At 49.4% G+C, this 16,456-nt stretch overlaps 1 protein-coding gene across 21 annotated transcripts in view, besides 2 other annotated features; it reads left to right on the top strand.

The window, feature by feature from the left end:
* Positions 1 to 16,456, top strand: part of KAZN (kazrin, periplakin interacting protein) — a 1,225,220-nt gene that overhangs the window by 1,070,613 nt on the left and 138,151 nt on the right. The window lies entirely within an intron of this gene.
* Positions 4,520 to 5,424: an enhancer, noted in NCBI's record as "H3K4me1 hESC enhancer chr1:15294452-15295356 (GRCh37/hg19 assembly coordinates)". NCBI's record gives its function as "activates a minimal SCP1, AML or CMV promoter by ChIP-STARR-seq in naive H9 embryonic stem cells {active_cell/tissue: H9 hESC(naive)}" and the evidence as "EXISTENCE:reporter gene assay evidence [ECO:0000049][PMID:30033119]".
* Positions 6,612 to 7,334: an enhancer, noted in NCBI's record as "H3K4me1 hESC enhancer chr1:15296544-15297266 (GRCh37/hg19 assembly coordinates)". NCBI's record gives its function as "activates a minimal SCP1, AML or CMV promoter by ChIP-STARR-seq in primed H9 embryonic stem cells {active_cell/tissue: H9 hESC(primed)}" and the evidence as "EXISTENCE:reporter gene assay evidence [ECO:0000049][PMID:30033119]".

Raw genomic sequence — 16,456 nt, forward strand, 5'->3', positions numbered from 1 at the left:
CACAGACACGCCTCATCTTCCCTCTGGGTATGGTCGCAGGGAAGGAAGTTGGCCCAGATGCCAGAGACAGAAGCCATTCTTACTTCAGTGGCGGTGACAGCAGACTCAAGTCAGATCTGGGGGCTTGAATCCCACCTCTACCATTTATTGGCTATGTGAGCTTGGATGCATTTTTTTGTTGTTGTTGTTGTTTACTTTTTTATTTTCCTCTAAGTTCTGGGTTACATGTGCAGAACGTGCAGGTTTGTTGCATAGGTATATGTGTGCCATGGTGGTTTGCTGCACCTGTCAACTCATCATCTAGGTTTTAATTAGATATTTGTCCTAATGCTGTCCCTCCCCTTGCCCCCTACTGCCCAACAGGCCCCAGTGTGTGATGTTCCCCCTCCCTGCGTCTACATGTTCTCATTGTTTGACTCCCACTTATGAGTGAGAACGTGTGGTGTTTGGTTTTCTGTTCCTGTGTTAGTTTGCTGAGAATGATGGTTTCTAGCTTCACCCATGTCCCTGCAAAGGACATGAACTAATTCTTTTTTATGGTTGCATAGTATTCCATGTTGTATATGTACCACATTTTCTTTATCCAGTCTGTCATTGATAGGCATTTGGGTTGGTTCCAAGTCTTTGCTATTGTAAATAGTGCTGCAGTAAACATACGTGTACATGTGTCTCTATAGTAGAATGATTTATAATCCTTTGGGTATGTGCCCAGTAATGGGATTCCTGGGTCAAATGGTATTTCTGGTTCTAGAGCTTGGATACATTCTTTAACCTCCCTGCCCCATGATTCCTTTGCTGAGGGTAATAGTAACAATGCCTGTTTTTCTTATAATTGGGACTAATAAACAGTAGCTACTTCATAGGATTGTTGTGAAGATTGAGGTGTAAAGTGCATGGCCTGGTGTGTAGTACCATTAGTGCCAATACTGAGATCTGCTTGGAGATGTTGCTTGTCTGATTCTCATGAGGGGTGGCCCAGACCTGAGACCACCCCTTGAGCCCATCCAAGCTCAAGGTAGCGGCATTCCTGAAAGGCAGTGAGTTGGCACCTTCAGCCACCACGAGCATCCTGCCTGGAATTCTACAAAGTCATAAATAAGATGCTTCACCAGCCACAGCACATGGTGAGTAAATTGCAGACAGATGCGGGCAGAAGGAGTCCAGGGCATGGAAAGGGATTTATATGCCCATAATGAGGAGAGGGGGAATAAACGCACAAGCCGAGCAAGCAGCAGATGTTGGGCGACGCTTGTTAACATCCAGTGTCCCTAATGTGGGAAAAAGCAGAGCCCCCAAAGACTTGCCCCCTGGCAGATTCTCTCTCCAACTAACTGCCCCACCGTCTTTGTGTTTGAATGAGACCCGAAATTTCTAGCATGTGAGAGGAACAGGAACTCAAGCAGGCACCCAAAACATCAGTCTGCGGTTACAACACAAAAGCAATGGAAAGAATCTTGTTTGGGAAAAACGGGGGCTTAGAAGATTCCTTTGTTTCTTTGGAAATGAGTGTGGGAATATTTGGTTTTGAATTTTGGTCTCATCATGAGCTTAAAGGCAGAAGCCTGAATGATTGTTTAAGACATATATATATATTTTTTTCTTTTTTTTTTTTGAGACAGAGTCTCACTCTGTCATCCAGGCTTGGAGTACACTGGTGCAATCTCAGCTCACTGCAACCTCTGCCTCCCGGGCTCAAATGAGCCTCCAGAGAAGCTGGAACTACAGGCACACACCACCATGCCCGGCTAATTTTTGTATTTTTTTGTAGAGACGGAGGCTTGCCATGTTGCTCAGGCTGGTCTGGAACTCCTGGGCTCAAGCAGTCTGCCCGGGTCGGCTTTCCAAAGTGCTGAGATTACAAGCATGAGCCACCAAGCCCAGCTCATCAATGGTATCATCTTATGTATAAACTGCATGAGCCCTGCCCAGCACATGTGGTAAGCGTGTAGCCTGGGGGACCCCTTTGGGGTGTCTGTTGATTTCCTCAGGCCTCCTCAATTTCATGATTTCTCCGCGAATCAAGGCAGCACAGAAACAATGATAGTGAAAATTTGCTTCATTCCTTTTTAAATCTCTTAACAGCATGTCAGGTGTTTTGAGCGTGTTCCCACAACAATAAATACTCTTTGAAAACATAATTTTTAATGACTACATAATGTTCTGCCAAATGGAGATACCATAATTTATTTAGCCGTTTCCCTATTATTAGACACTTAAGTTGTTTCCACTTTTTTTCTCTCTCTGTCTTTTGTTTGTTTGTTTGCCATTATATAACACTGTCTTAAAGATCTGTGTATGTAAATCTGTTTATTTTCATAAGACAGCATTTCTTAAGCTCTTTGGCCTGAGGACCACTTTATATCTTTACAAAACTGAAGACCCCAAAGGGCTTTTGCTCATATGGTTTAGATCTATTAGTATTAATGTTTTCAAAATTAAAACTAGAAAAAATATGTAAATCTTTAGTAATTTATTTTAAAATCATCATAATAAATGCATTATATGTTAACATAAGTACAGTTATCTTTTTCTTTCCTTTCCTTTTCTTTTTTTTTTTTTTTTTGAGATAGTTTCACTGTGTCACCCAGGCTTGAGTGCAGGGGCGTGACCTCGGCTCACTGCAACCTCCGCCTCCTGGGTTCAAGTGATTCTCGTGCCTCAGCCTCCCAAGTAGCTGGGATTACAGGCACGCGCCACCATGCCCAGCTAATTTTTGTATTTTTAGCAGAGACAGGATTTCACCGTGTTGCCCAGGCTGGTCTGGAACTCTTGACCTTAAGCAATCTGCCTGCCTCGGCCTCCCAAAGTGCTGGGATTACAGGCGTGAGACACCTTGCCCCACCAATATAGTTATGTTTTAATGAGAAGTAGCTGTATTTTCCCAAACAGATTCGAGTGAGAAGAGCAGCATTATTTTTTAAACATTTTTGTAAAACTCACTGGTGTCTGGCTTCATAGCAGAGTGCTGAATTCTCATCTCTGCTCCGTCTGTCTAGTGTGATTGTTGTTTTGGTTGAAAATCTGGCGTACGCAGTTTTGTATTAATAGTTGGAGAAGGAAGGATTATATTAATTGCCTTGTTAGATAATTGTGGGTGTTCTTTGATACCATGCTGAAATTCAGTGGTAGTTTCTTGAAGGTTTGTTGCAGTGCGCATCTGAAACCTAATCCTTTGTACTCTGCTACGTTAAAATCCACTGGTCTAATTTGCACTTTGAAATGGGTATTTTACCCACGTTTTTTTTTCTTTTGAGATAGAGTCTTGCTCTGTCTCACCCAGACTGGAGTACAGTGGCGCCATCTCAGCTCACTGCAACCTCCGTCTCCTGGGTTCAGACGATTCTCCTGTCTCAGCCCTGCGAGTAGCTGGGACTACAGGCATGTGCCACCACACCCAGCTAATTTTGTATTTTTAATAGGACTGGGTTTCACCATGTTGGCCAGGCTGGTCTTGAACCCCTGACCTCAGGTGATCACCCGACTCAGCCTCCCAAAGTGCTGGGATTACAGGCATGAGCCACTGCACCCGGCCCCCGCATATGTATTACTGGCGGAAAATGGCTTGAACAAAGGCTAGAAGACTAGTCTGCACATGGAGGTGGGAAGGGACACCTGATGTTGAGGCTTTGATGCAGGCAGATGATGGGCGATGGTCACGGTGAACTCGAGGGTCACACCAGAAGCTCAGGGACCTTGGAGCTTTTCAGCAGGAGTCACTATGTGAAGTGTGGTGTTTTAGGATGTCCCCATTTTCGTTTCCCTCCCTCTCCCTCCCTTTGCAGCCTGGTCACTGTCCTTCTGGCACATGGTGGTGTGGTTACATCTGTGTGGCTCCTGGATGTGCCTATGGTATCACCTCCCTTCTGTCCCCTCAAGGTCTCTGCATTTGTACTTTACTCTCCCCCAGCCTCCAGATGGTCACTCTTCCGCCTGCTTCAGGTTCAGTCTCCGCATCCTCTAGGCAGCTTTCTGGACCAGCTTCCCTGTCCGATGGGCTCAGGGCCTGTTTTTGGCAGAATAATGATGTCCCCCTCTCCCAAAGATGTCCCCAGCCTAATTCCTGGGACTTGTGAATGAGTTAGGTCACACGGCAAAGGGGAACGAAGCTTGCCAATCGGATATCCCTGGGATGAGTCTCCGGTGGGCCCAGTGGATCACAAGGGCCCTTGAAAGTAGAAGGGGAGGCACAAGAGAGAGTCAGAGGAGATGTGACCGGAGGAGCAGAGGCCAGAGGGATTCAATGTGGGGCCTTGACACACCGTTGCTGGCTTTGAAGACACAGGAAGGGGCTGCAAGCCAAGGAGTGCAGGCGACCTCTAGAAGCTGGGAAAGACAAGGAAACAGGCTTTCCCCAGAGCCTCCAGAAGAAAGGCAGTCCTGCCAACACCAGGGTTTTAGCCCGGTAACACCCATTTTAGACCTTTGACCTCCAGAACTACTATAAGAACATTCATTTGTATTAAATTAATTTGTATTATGTTAGGCCAGCAGTCCCCAACCTTTTAGGCACCAGGGACCGGTTTCATGGAAGACAGTTTTTCCACGGACCAGGTGTCCGGGGTTGGGGGATGGTTTTGGGATGATTCCAGGGCATTACATGCACTACATTTCTTGTGCACTAAATTTCTATTATTATTACATTGTAATATATAGTGAAATAATTATACAATTCACCCTAATGTAGAATCAGTGGGAGACCTGAGCTTGTTTTCCTGCAACTAGATGGTCCCATCTAGGGGTGACGGGAGACAGTGACAGATCATCAGGCATTAGATTCTAATAAGGAGCACGCAACCTGGATCCCTCACATGCGCAGTTCACAAGAGGGTTCGTGCTCCTATGAGAGTCTAATGCCATCGCTGCTGATCAGACAGGAGGTGGAGCTCCGGCGGTAATGTGAGTGATGGGGAGCAGCTGTAAATACAGATGAAACTTCGCTCGCTCGCCCCTCACCTCCTGCTGTGCAGCCTGCTTCCTAAGAGGCCAGGGACCAGTACCAGTCCATGGCCTGGGGCTTGGGGACCCCGTGTGAAGCCACTGCATTGTGTCACTTTGTTACAACAAGAATGGGAAACGAACCAGGCCCTCTCTTTCCCTGGACTTGGCAGCCCTAAACACTGCCCTCTCTCAGGGCTTAGGACACGTGAGGGTCATCTGTTTCCTTTAGAAACGCCTGCAGGGCACAGCAGCCAGCACGGGGCGGGTGGAGTTAGCTAGCACTGACTGAGCATGGAGCAGAAGAAAGGATCCGGAGTTTCCTCTCCTTACTGGAAGGACTAAGGCCTGTGGGAGCCTTTTCCCTGCCACAGAGTGAGTCACCTGCCTTACACTGAAAGAAACACAACTTTATTATTTAATTTGCTCATTCACCAAATGTTCCCTGAAAGCTTCCCTACCCCAAAGCTTGTGCCGATGCCTGTGGTTCAGAGCATTCCAGGCCCTGCTCAGAGTCTAGGGACATGCCTGAAACCTACGACACACTCAGTGTACCTTACTTGAATCCTATTTTTCCAAGTGGCCAACCAGGCCTGTAGATGAGAGTCTATCCCATAGGCATTCCTGCTTCAAGGAGTTCTAGGCTGCAGAGACTGTCTTAAGTCCAGCGGGGTCGGTGGGGCTGGAAGACTAAAGCTCCCAGCAGGTGCAGCCATGCCCTGGCTGCCTTTGCAGATGTCACCAGGCCTGCAGACAGTGGGGTAGTAGGTGGCCTGAGAGGCTGTTGAATAGAACGATGTGTCATCTGTGCTGGGGCGGCCATGCCCACTTGCTTTCTTAGACACACATCCTTGTCACCACAGCACTGTGTGGGTTTGAAAAGCTACTTGATGTTTCCTGTGTCCCTTCCCACATCCGCACTCCATTCTTAGTCTCATTCCCTCCATCAAAGACGTGTTCATCTTCTATGCAGTTCATCACCTGGGGTTGAATGTGTATGTTCCTCTTTAGTAAATTCATACGCTTGAAGCTACTGCTGTTTCTTTAGCCTGGTGGCTCTCGGGGCTGCTGCAGGGGGCCCACCCTGAGCCAGCCCCTCGGTCCCACAGCCCTGACGTAGAAGACTCTTTGCTGGTAAATCTCGGAACTCACTGGAAGCTTCCACAAAGTTTAACTCTACAGACAGAATGTCTTCCTTACATACTACCGGCTGCTTTTAAATATTGTTAACAGATCCCCCTTAAAGGCTTCTTAGACTCCACATTTTGATCCAGTTGATAATAATTGATGGTCAGGTGGAAGAATTGCCCAGGCTCTGTTGTTGTTCTGTTATAGTTGCCACTGGACCTGCTTTCAGCACCCTCACCCTGGCTGCTTCAGAGGGCAGCTGGATTCCTAAAAAGAACCCATGCCCTAATGCACAAGTACTTTTTATTTTATTTTATATTATTTTTCGTGGGGGGACAGAGTCTTACTCTGTCGCCCAGGCTGGAGTGCAGTGGCATGATCTTGGCTCACTGCAACCTCTACCTCCTGGGTTCAAGCGATTCTCCTGCCTCAGCCTCCTGAGTAGCTGGGATTACAGGCGCCCGCCACCACGCCCAGCTGATTTTTGCATTTTTAGTAGAGCTGGGGTTTCACCGTGTTGGCCAGGCTGGTCTTGAACTCCTGACTTCAAGTGATTCACCTGCCTCGGCCTCCCAAAGTGCTGGGATTATAGGCATGAGCCATGGTGCCTGGCCCACAAGCACTTTTTAAAAATAATTAATAATCATCATCATTTAATTTGAGAGTAGTTTGAGGTTTACAGAAAAGTTTCTAAGATAGTACGGAGCGTTGCTGTATACCCAGTTTCCCCGTTAAGATCCTTCAATTACCTTGCACAAGAGCCTTAAAACCATCTCTTGTGTCGTGCTTGCTGATATCTCATTGGCCAAAGCAAGTCACCTGACCAAGCCCTGTATCACGTGGGCGGGGCTCTGCAAGGCCAGGCTCCTTGGCAACCCCGTGACTCACAGTCCAACACAGAGATCCTTTTAAATAGAATTGTTTCCAGAACCTGCCCTGAAGTCTGGGGTTCTGGTGACTGACAGTCTACACATTTGCAACAAACTTTGTCCCCTTTGCTTTTTATGCAGTAATTTTTTTTGCACCCGAGGAACTGATGTTCTCGTCCTCATCTGGGGTTTTTAGCACTGAGTCCTTGACCCTCTGTGAGTTGCACAGGCAGCCAGGACGGCGCCTTCCCCCAGGCGTCCCTGTCCCCCACACAGCCTCCCTAACATGTGCCCTTTCCGGCGTCTGCTTCAACACTTGGATCAGCTTCTTAGTAGATTCCGTGATGTCTTAAGGTTCTAATTATGGAAGTCTTCCATTTATCCTGAGAACAACGGAAAGGCTGGTCTGTTTGCAAATGCACAGACACCCTCTAGCACTCACCCACGCCCATCTGATACTTGTTTTGGAAACATTTACCAGAGCTCAACTCTTCTGTGTTCTGGGGAGGGGAGATTAAGCCCATTTTGTAGTTGGGAAGACTGAGGTGTGAACACACACTGCATCACTTTGGAGTGATAATCATTTCGGCTAGCATGTATTTAGCACTTGGAATTTGCCAGGCACTCTCTTCATTCCTTTGCCTGCGTGAGTCATCAGTCCTCCCAACAACCCATGTTCGATGGGTAGTGTTAGCCTCAGTTTCCCCATCTATAAAATGGGGATGAGAGAGGTTAAGAAATTCTTCTGGCCGGATGCAATGGCTCATGCTTTTGTAATACCATCACTTTGAGAGGCCAAGGCGGGCGAATCATGAGGTCAGGAGTTTGAGACCAGCCTGACCAACATGGTGAAACACTGTCCTTACTAAAAATACGAAAATTAGCCAGGCATGGTGGCGCGTGCCTGTAATCCCAGCTACTCAGGAGGCTGAGGCAGGAGAATTGCTTGAATCCGGGAGGCAGAGGTTGCGGTGGGCTGAGATTGCGCCGCGGCACGCCAGCCTGGGCGACAGAGCGAGACTGTCTCAAACAAAAAAAGAAAAGAAAAAGAAAATCTTCTACGGCCTTCTAGCTAGTAGGTTTTGGAGCCAAAGCTTGATCCCTAATGAGTCTGTTTTCCAAACTGATTTTCTTCATAGATATTTGGCAGGTACTTCTTTGATTCTGAGGTTCTCAGGGGTGATCACAGCAGAAAAGAGGAAAAGAGTGAAATAGGGAAGAGAGGAGAAAGAGGAGAGGATCTGGAAGTGGGTGTCTTTCAGAGGCCCCCTTCCCTGGAGGCACCAGGAGTTGTTTTTTTTTTTTTCTTTTTCTTTTTTTTTTTTTTTTTTGAGACGGACTCTCGCTCTGTTGCCCAGGCTGGAATGCAGTGGCGCGATCTCTGCTCACTGCAAGCTCCGCCTCCCGGGTTCACACCATTCGGCACCAGGAGTTTTAATGCATTCTCCGTCTTCGCTCTGAAAATGGTCCCCGGGAAGAAAGGCTGCAAGGTTGCTCTCTTGGCCACACCAGACAGAAGTTTTTCTTCCCACCTCCTCCCAGTCTCGTCCTCCTTCCCCTGCAGGGCATTGAGCATGCTCCAGCCCCCGGAAATGCCAGTGGTCTCGGCTGCAGCAGAGGCTGTCTTTACGGTAGGGGCAGAGGCTGCACACGCTGATCCTCAGCTTTTAATTAATCCACCCCTCCCTGGCCCCTTCCCAGGAAAGGTCAGAGATGGATTCTGCAGAATGAGGACAGGACTCGGTGTGCGTCAAGCCAGGCTCTCCAAATGCCTTTCAGAAGACCTTGCCCAAGACCCCATTAAATTTTGCTTGGAGCATGGCCTCCATCACTGTGCAGGTCTTCATGCCTACCTGGCCATGACAGGGTCAGGACATGACCTTGAAAGTGTGGCAAGAAAACGAAAGCCACGCTGGCCTCCATCCCAGGAGAAGACCTTTGGTGTGAGCAGGGGAGGGTCATCTTCAGAGTTGGCCTCAGAGGCAGTGCAGGGCACTCTTGCTCTGCGGTGCCTGAGCTTGGCTCAGTTGAGCACAGGTCCAAGGCGGCTGTGGACACAGGATCAAGTCTGACACAGGCCTTGACCCTGATTCACCTCACCCCTGCTTGGCTCCCAGGGGAATGCGCTGCTGACCTCAGACTGGGAACTTTTTTTTTTTTTTTTGAGTTGGAGTCTCACTCTTGTCGCCTAGGCTAGAGTGCAATGGCACAATCTCAGCTCACTGCAACCCTGCCTCCCGAGTTCCGGCGATTCTCCTACCTCAGCCTCCTGAGTAGCTGGGATTACAGGCACCTGCCACCACGCCCGGCTAATTTTTGTATTTTTAGTAGAGACGGGGTTTCACCATGTTGGCCAGGCTGGTCTCGAACTCCTGACCTCAAGTGATTCGCCCACTGTGGCCTCCCAAAGTGCTGGGATTACAGGCGGGAGCCGCTGTGCCTGGCCGTGAGCTCTTTTTGTAGAGTAGCCCCTGCTCGTGGTCAGTCAGCAAAGGAGGTAGCAGGGCTTTGGGGTATTGAATGCAACACAGGAGAGGGGGTGTGGGGAACAGGGACTGCAGTTTCACTCAGATTTAGCAAAACGTATCGAGCACCTCCGAGAGCCGGCCCTATCCTGAGCATGCCATATGCCTTCTCTTCACATTATCCCCAGAACAACCCCATGACATAGATGGGGTCACCCTGCCTTTACAGTTGGGGAAACTGAGGCTCCAAGATCGTACAGCATGCGAGTCTCAGCATTTGGATTTGAAGCTCTGTGTCTGACACAGATCCATCAATGCTGCACCGGTGCTAGTTTTCCATCAATAGACATCGTTTTAATGTTACTAAAATATTACTAGAATCCCACTCATTCATTCAGCAGATACTTGTTGAAGTCCTACTGTTTGCCAGACATTATTCTGGGCACTTGGGGTTTATCTGTGAGCATGTTAGGAATAACGCTCAAAATCCTAAGGAAACTGAACACTCAAACAAAGGATTCTTAGCAAAGCAATTGTACTTCTGCGCAGAGGGGTACCTCCTTGGCCAGTTGCCATGAGAGCACACCTGAACAAAGGGGCACGAGAGCCTTTATTCCTGATGCAAGTCCTGCCCCTGTACCCTTTCCCCACTGGCCGGGGTCATACAATCTAAACTAATCCCAGTTGACTGAACATTTGATTTTTTTTTAGATAGGGTGGGCATGTAAAAGAAAGTGGAGAGGAAGGGGAAGGGGTGTCTGTAATGAGCTAGAAAGTTAGTCCTCTTTCCAAATAAGGAAAGGAATGTGAGCTGGTACTGATAACGCTTGGTACTGTGGCATGCCTGGGCATTTAACAAAGGCAAGGAGGAAAAAAGGAGAAGAAAAGGGGGGTGGTACAATGAATTAAAGAATAAAAGATTGATCAGATTATTTGAAGAGAAACCTCATCATATCCCACAGCAGAATTGACAAAGATCCATTTCTTGTGGAGATTACATTCTAGAAGGGTGCACCGGTTACTACTGCTGTGTAACACACTGCCTGTAAATCTTAGTGGCATAAAGCAACCACCGTTTTTCTTACATCTCATGATCTTGTGAATCAGGGATTTGGCAGGGCTCAGCTAGGCGATTCTTAGGTTCTCTGTGGTGTCAGTAGGGGTACTTCCATGCTATTCCTCTGGACGACCCAAGATGGCTTCACTCACATATCTGGTGCCATGGCAGGATGGCTGGGCTAAGCTGGGTCCGGCAACCACATGCCCATTTGCAGCCCCTTCAGCATAGTAGTCAGACTTTGTACATGGATGCTAAGGGCTCCCACAGAGAGGGCTCCAGGAAACCAAGTGCAAGCTGCCAGGCTTCTTATGACCTAGTCCTAGGAGTCACTTAGCATCACTTCTGCCACATTCTGTTGGTGACAGGCCAGCCAGACCCCACACTATAAAAGGCATGTGGCATGGGAGATGCATTTGTGTCCAGCTTTGCAAAAATACCATCTGCCATGGAGGGAAGGGAAAAGGCAAACAAACAATATAGCAAAAAGTAAATGTATGCTGTTTTAGGGGATTGTAGGTACTATATGGAAATGAAGATTTTAAAGTAGGGTAAGATCAGACCCAGCTGCTCCACTCCTGAGTGTTTACTCACCTAGGAAATACACATCCATACAAAGACTTGTACATACGTGGTTTTAGCAGCTTATTTTTAATAGCCAAAAACTGGAATCGGCCCAAAGGCTCATCAACAGATAAAAAAATAAACAAACTGGTAATATTGTACAATGGAATCCTACTCAGTAATAAAGCAACAAACTGGGTACATATAACAACATGGAGAGATCTCAATTCTACTGAGTGACAGAGTCCAGGGGAAAAATGTATATAGGATATGATTCCATTTAAGGAGACTAGAAAATGCATGCTAATCTACAGGGACAGAAAGCTCCTGTAGGAACGTGGGCTTATTGCAGAGGGTAGGCAGAAACTGGGTGATGGGTATTTTCACTGTCTTGATTGTGGTGATAGTTTTGCAGGTGTGTACATATATCAGAGAATGTCAAATGGCACATGTTAAATATGTACAGTTCATTGTATTTTATTTAAAACCAATAAAGCTGTTTTTAGAAGGAAGTAAGGTGGATTTGGAGTCCTGCGGATAGAGCATTGTAGGGCAAGGAGCATTTTAGAACCCTGTAAGTCACATCAGTGGGGTGGCCTCTGGCTTTGCCTTCTTTCCCTGTGTGCTGGCCTCAGCAGGTCACAGAGGGGACCCGGCCCCAGATGGGCAGAGTCCTCGAAGACAGGCAGACTGTGCCAGCCAGCTCCTGGGTGAGGGAAAGAGCAGAGAGTCTGCAGAGCTCCAATACCCAGGGCTCCTGGGCTCGCATTCCAGGAACAGGCAGAGACCAGCAAGGTCCAAAGCTGGATGTGCTGTGGCTTGAGCTCCCGCCCAACTTTTTAAATAGGTCTGACCACCTGGCCCAGCTAGAGGCTGAGACATAAGCTCCTGATAGCCAGGCAGGCTGGACAGGCCTTCATGCCTGGAGCCTGATGTTGGAGCAGAAGGAGAGGCATTTTTCTTGGCACCCAGCTAAAAATTCAGACCAGCTTAGAGAGGAACGTTCTAATTTCAGCTTAGGGCCTGGTGCTATGGCTGGGAAAAGACCAAGGTTAAAATTCAATGTCTCCATGAATATAATATTTTTAAAAATAATCTTTAGATTTAAGGTATATATAATTAATAAAGTTTTTATATATTTATGGAATATTGGTATAGTCCAGGCATGCATGGAATATAAATTCCACAGATTTCCTCCCAGCAGCCCTGTGAGTTGTTTTTCCCATTTTGCACATGAAAAGATTGAGGCCCAGAGACCTGACCTACTGGGAGGTGGAAATTAAAGCAAAGAAGGTGGCCGGGCACAGTGGCTCACGCCTGTAATCCCAGTACTGCGGGAGGCCGAGATGGGCGGATCATGAGGTCAGGAGATCAAGACCATCCTGGCTAACACGGTGAAACCCCGTCTCTACTAAAAATACAAAAAAATTAACTGGGCGTAGTGGCGGGCGCCTGTAGTCCCAGCTACTTGGGAGGCTGAGGCAGGAGAAAGGCGCGAACCCGGGAGGCGGAGCTTGCAGTGAACCGAGATCATGCCACTGCACTCCAGCCTGGGCGACTGAGCGAGACTCCGTCTCAAAAAAAAAAAAAAAAAAAAAAGCAAAGAAAGTACACTCAGCTCTCAGACCTGCGCGGTGAGCCCGCACACTGCACAGCCGCACACTGCGAGCCTGTTGCTGTTGGTTTTGGACGTGGCTAACAGTTTTTTATTTTATATTCATTCATTTATTTGAGACAAGGTCTCATTCCTATCACCCAGGCTGGAGTGCAGTGGCATAATCTCGGCTCACTGCAGCCTCAACTTCCTGGACTCAGATGATTCTCCCATCTCAGCCTCCTGAGTAGCTGGGACTACTCAGAACAGCACGTCATCAGGCCAGGCCTACTGTGGAGGCCAGTCACTCTTGCCCCGGCCACAAGAAGGACCGCAGGACTTAGGCCTGAGTGCTCACCCGGCAGCACAGACCTTGGCAGCCCCTGAATTCCGGAGGAACTGCTCACTCACAGGCCCTGGACCATGACGACCCAGAACATGGTTCAGACTCAGGCCCTTCCGGCAGAGCACATTGCCCGAGGGAAGAAAGTGGTCTTAGCGTGAACCCATGGGTTCCAGCAGAAATGCGTGAGCCGGATGAGCCCACGCTGCCCAGCCCCAGAGGAGGCCGGGAGGGGCTTCTTGGTTGGTTTGGCTTCTTGGCTGACCTGCGACGAGGCCCAACCAGATGGGCATTGGCCGTCCTGGGACATGGACTCTCCCCCTGGGTGCCCAGCACTGGGCTGAAGAACACACGGCAGGGCGCTCAAAAACTGGGCTCTAGGCAGGGCGCGGTGGCTCACGCCTGTAATCTCAGCACTTTGGGAGGCCGAGGCGAGCAGATCACAAGGTCAAGGAGTTCGAGACCAGTCTGGCCAACGTGGTGAAACCCTGTCTCTACTAAAAATACAAAAAAATTAGCCAGGTGTGGTGGTGGGCGCCTGTAATCCCAGCTACTCAGGAGGCTGAGGCAGGAGGATCACGTGAACCCGGGAGGCAGAGGTTGCAGTGAGCCAAGATCGTGCCACTACACTCCAGCCTGGGCGACAGTGTGAGACTCCATCTCAAATTAAAAACAAACAAACAAACAAACAAAAAACTGGGCTCTGCTGAAGGCATAGGACTGAAAAGGCCATGGAGTCCTCGGGGCGGTGATTCCCCTGGGAGGGGCTGTGCTTTCCCCCTTTGGGCTGGAGGCCCTGAGGGTCAGGACCTGACGGTGTCTGTCTCTGTCCTTCAGCCACAGGATTGCTCCTGTCCCCGCAGCTGGGTGAGTAAGCAAGGCTGGGAAAAGAGGGACGTAGTAGGGACAATTTGCTGGCCAGGACCTCAGGATGGCACTGGGTAGGTGCTCAGGGAGTGGGTGAGGAGCTGAGGGAGCACTCACACCCTCAGGTATGTACCCATGGTTCCATCCCAGATTCCGGAAGGTCAACGTGCCCCGACCCTGCCTTTCTGGTCGTGTGGCCTGTCAGCCCTGTCCTGGGCACTGACCTGTGTCTCCCTATTATGTGGCCACCAGATCCACCTGTGGAATGCACCTCTGCAGTGAGTGTCGCGCTCTGCTGCCTCTGAGTCAGCTGGAGAATTCATGTGCCTGCCGAGGTTGGCAATGGGTGGCATCAGTGGAGAGAGAGGAAAGGCACACTTTTTTCTTCCCTGTAGTTCGGGTGACTGCAGATTGCGGGAGACTCACTTCCTTCAGGTGCAGAATGGGCTGGGACAGCCCTGGGTGGCGCCCAGGAGAGAGGTCCACCAGGTGGCTCTGGCCAGGTCTGCCCACGAAGCCAAGCAGTTTTCTGGTGGGAGCTCCCAGCCTCTCACTCGCTTGCCTGGGCAGGGCTGACTGTTGGCCGTTGTCTCTTAAGCCTTGCACCTGCTGTGGGGTGCACGTCTTTTTTTTTTTTTTTTTTTTTTTTTTTGAGGTGGAGTTTCGCTCTTGTTGCCCAGGCTGGAGTGCAATGGCACGATCTCGGCTCACTGCACCTCCATCTCCCTGGTTCAAGCGATTCTCCTGCCTCCGCCTCCCGAGTAGCTGGGATTACAGGCATGTGCCACCAAGCCCTGCTATGGGGTCCATATATTGAGGGCAGAGTTTCTGGTCCAGGCGAACGCTCCCTCCCCGTGGCCTTCCTCACGTCCTCCCATTCCCAGCTGGGGCTGGTTCTTGCTAAAGACCTCTTTCTTTCCTTGGGCACATGCTTGCTGGCAGGGCCTGAATCAGAGCTTTTCTTCAAGATCTTCATGGCTCAGATGGGTGAGCAACTTCAGCCCAGCCTTTTCGAGCTGCCAAAGACAGTGGATGTGGTTTGGGAGCAACACTCTTAAGCCACTGGGACCAGATGAAGAGCAGAGTCTGGCTGGCTGTGTTCTACGGAGCATCTGGATTGTCAAAAGCATCCGGCAGCTTGAGGGATGTGATGGTGGGGAGGAGGGTCGACATGTGGTCTTGTTGATGGGACTGTTGTGTCCTTCTTCAGAGGAGAAGGTGGTCAACAGTAGGCCCCACATTTTACCTTTTTGGGGATCTTGCAGACCGACCTGGGAAGCCCCTGAGGCAGTCTTCTTCTTTGTTCGTTTCTCTTAATCTGATAGAGGTTCTTCTTCCCACTCTTCTGGAAATTCAGGTCCCCACCCCTGGGCTGCAGAGGGCAGTTTCGTGTTGGTCACTACTGGCCACCGAGCGCATCTCAGCCTCTGTGTGCTATGGGGGCTGAGTGTGTGGGTGTGGTCTTGCTCTCCTGGAAGATGGGGGGCTTTGCCAGGCAGAGGCAGTCTTTCTGAGCTGCTCCTAGAAGGGGGTCTGACGCCCAGACATAGCCGCCTCTGCTGCTATTCAGAGTCTGTTAGGAGTAAACGGGGAAGACAGTGAATAATTTGGGGATAGGAGGTACAGGAAGAGGGCAGTGGGAGGGAGGTTTTGGGGTATTTTTTGAGACGGAGTCTTGCTGTGTCACCCAGGCTGGAGTGCAATGGCGCAATCTCGGCTCACTGCAATCTCCATCTCCCGGGTTCAAGAGATTCTCCTGCCTCAGCCTCCTGAGCAGCTGGGATTACAGGCGCCTGCCACCATGCCCAGCTAATTTTTGTATTTTTAGTACAGACAGCGTTCACCATGTCGGCCAGGCTGGTCTCGAACTCCTAATCTCAGGTGATCCACCTGAGGTAATCCCAGCACTTTGGGAGGCCAAGGCGAGCGGATCACGAGGTGAGGAGTTCAAGACCAGCCTGACCAACGTGTGAAACCCCGTCTCTACTAAAAATGCAAAAATCTGCTGGGCATGGTGGTGGGCGCCTGTAATCCCAGCTACTCAGGAGGCTGAGGCAGAAGAATTGCTTGAACCCAGGAGGCAGAGGTTGCAGTGAGCCGAGATCGCACCACTGCATTCCAGCCTGGGTGGCAGAGGGAGACTTCCTCTCAAAAAAAATAAATAAATAAGAACAAATATAAAGTGAGCCCAGCATGCTGGGCCCTGCAATCAATTGATCGTGAGGTATTCCTGAGCTCATGCTGTGTCCTGGAGCTATGGGTCCCCCTCCCCGCCAACGCACCTGGTCTTTTTCTGGAATTCAAGCAGGTGGCTCAGAGACCACCACATGCAAAGCCCATCCTTGGGGGCAAAGGCTTCCAAGGATGGGGAGGCCTCCATGGGCTTGGGTGGGTAAGCTCAGGGGAAGGGGCCCTGAGGACTTGTGGGGAGGCAGTAATGATGTGATAGACATTGGAATTGATGTTCCTGAGTTCAAATCCTGCCTCCTCTTGAACTTGGGCAAGTTGCTGAACTTGTGTGTCCCCACTGGTATTACGGGATTATAATAGTACCTACCCCTTGGTTGTGAAGATTAAATGAGCTGATTCATAGAGTTTAGAACGGTAAGTACCTATTTATTTTTTATTTTTTAA

Source organism: Homo sapiens, chromosome 1 (assembly GCF_000001405.40).
Source record: "Homo sapiens chromosome 1, GRCh38.p14 Primary Assembly".
NCBI classification, from domain to species: domain Eukaryota; kingdom Metazoa; phylum Chordata; class Mammalia; order Primates; family Hominidae; genus Homo; species Homo sapiens.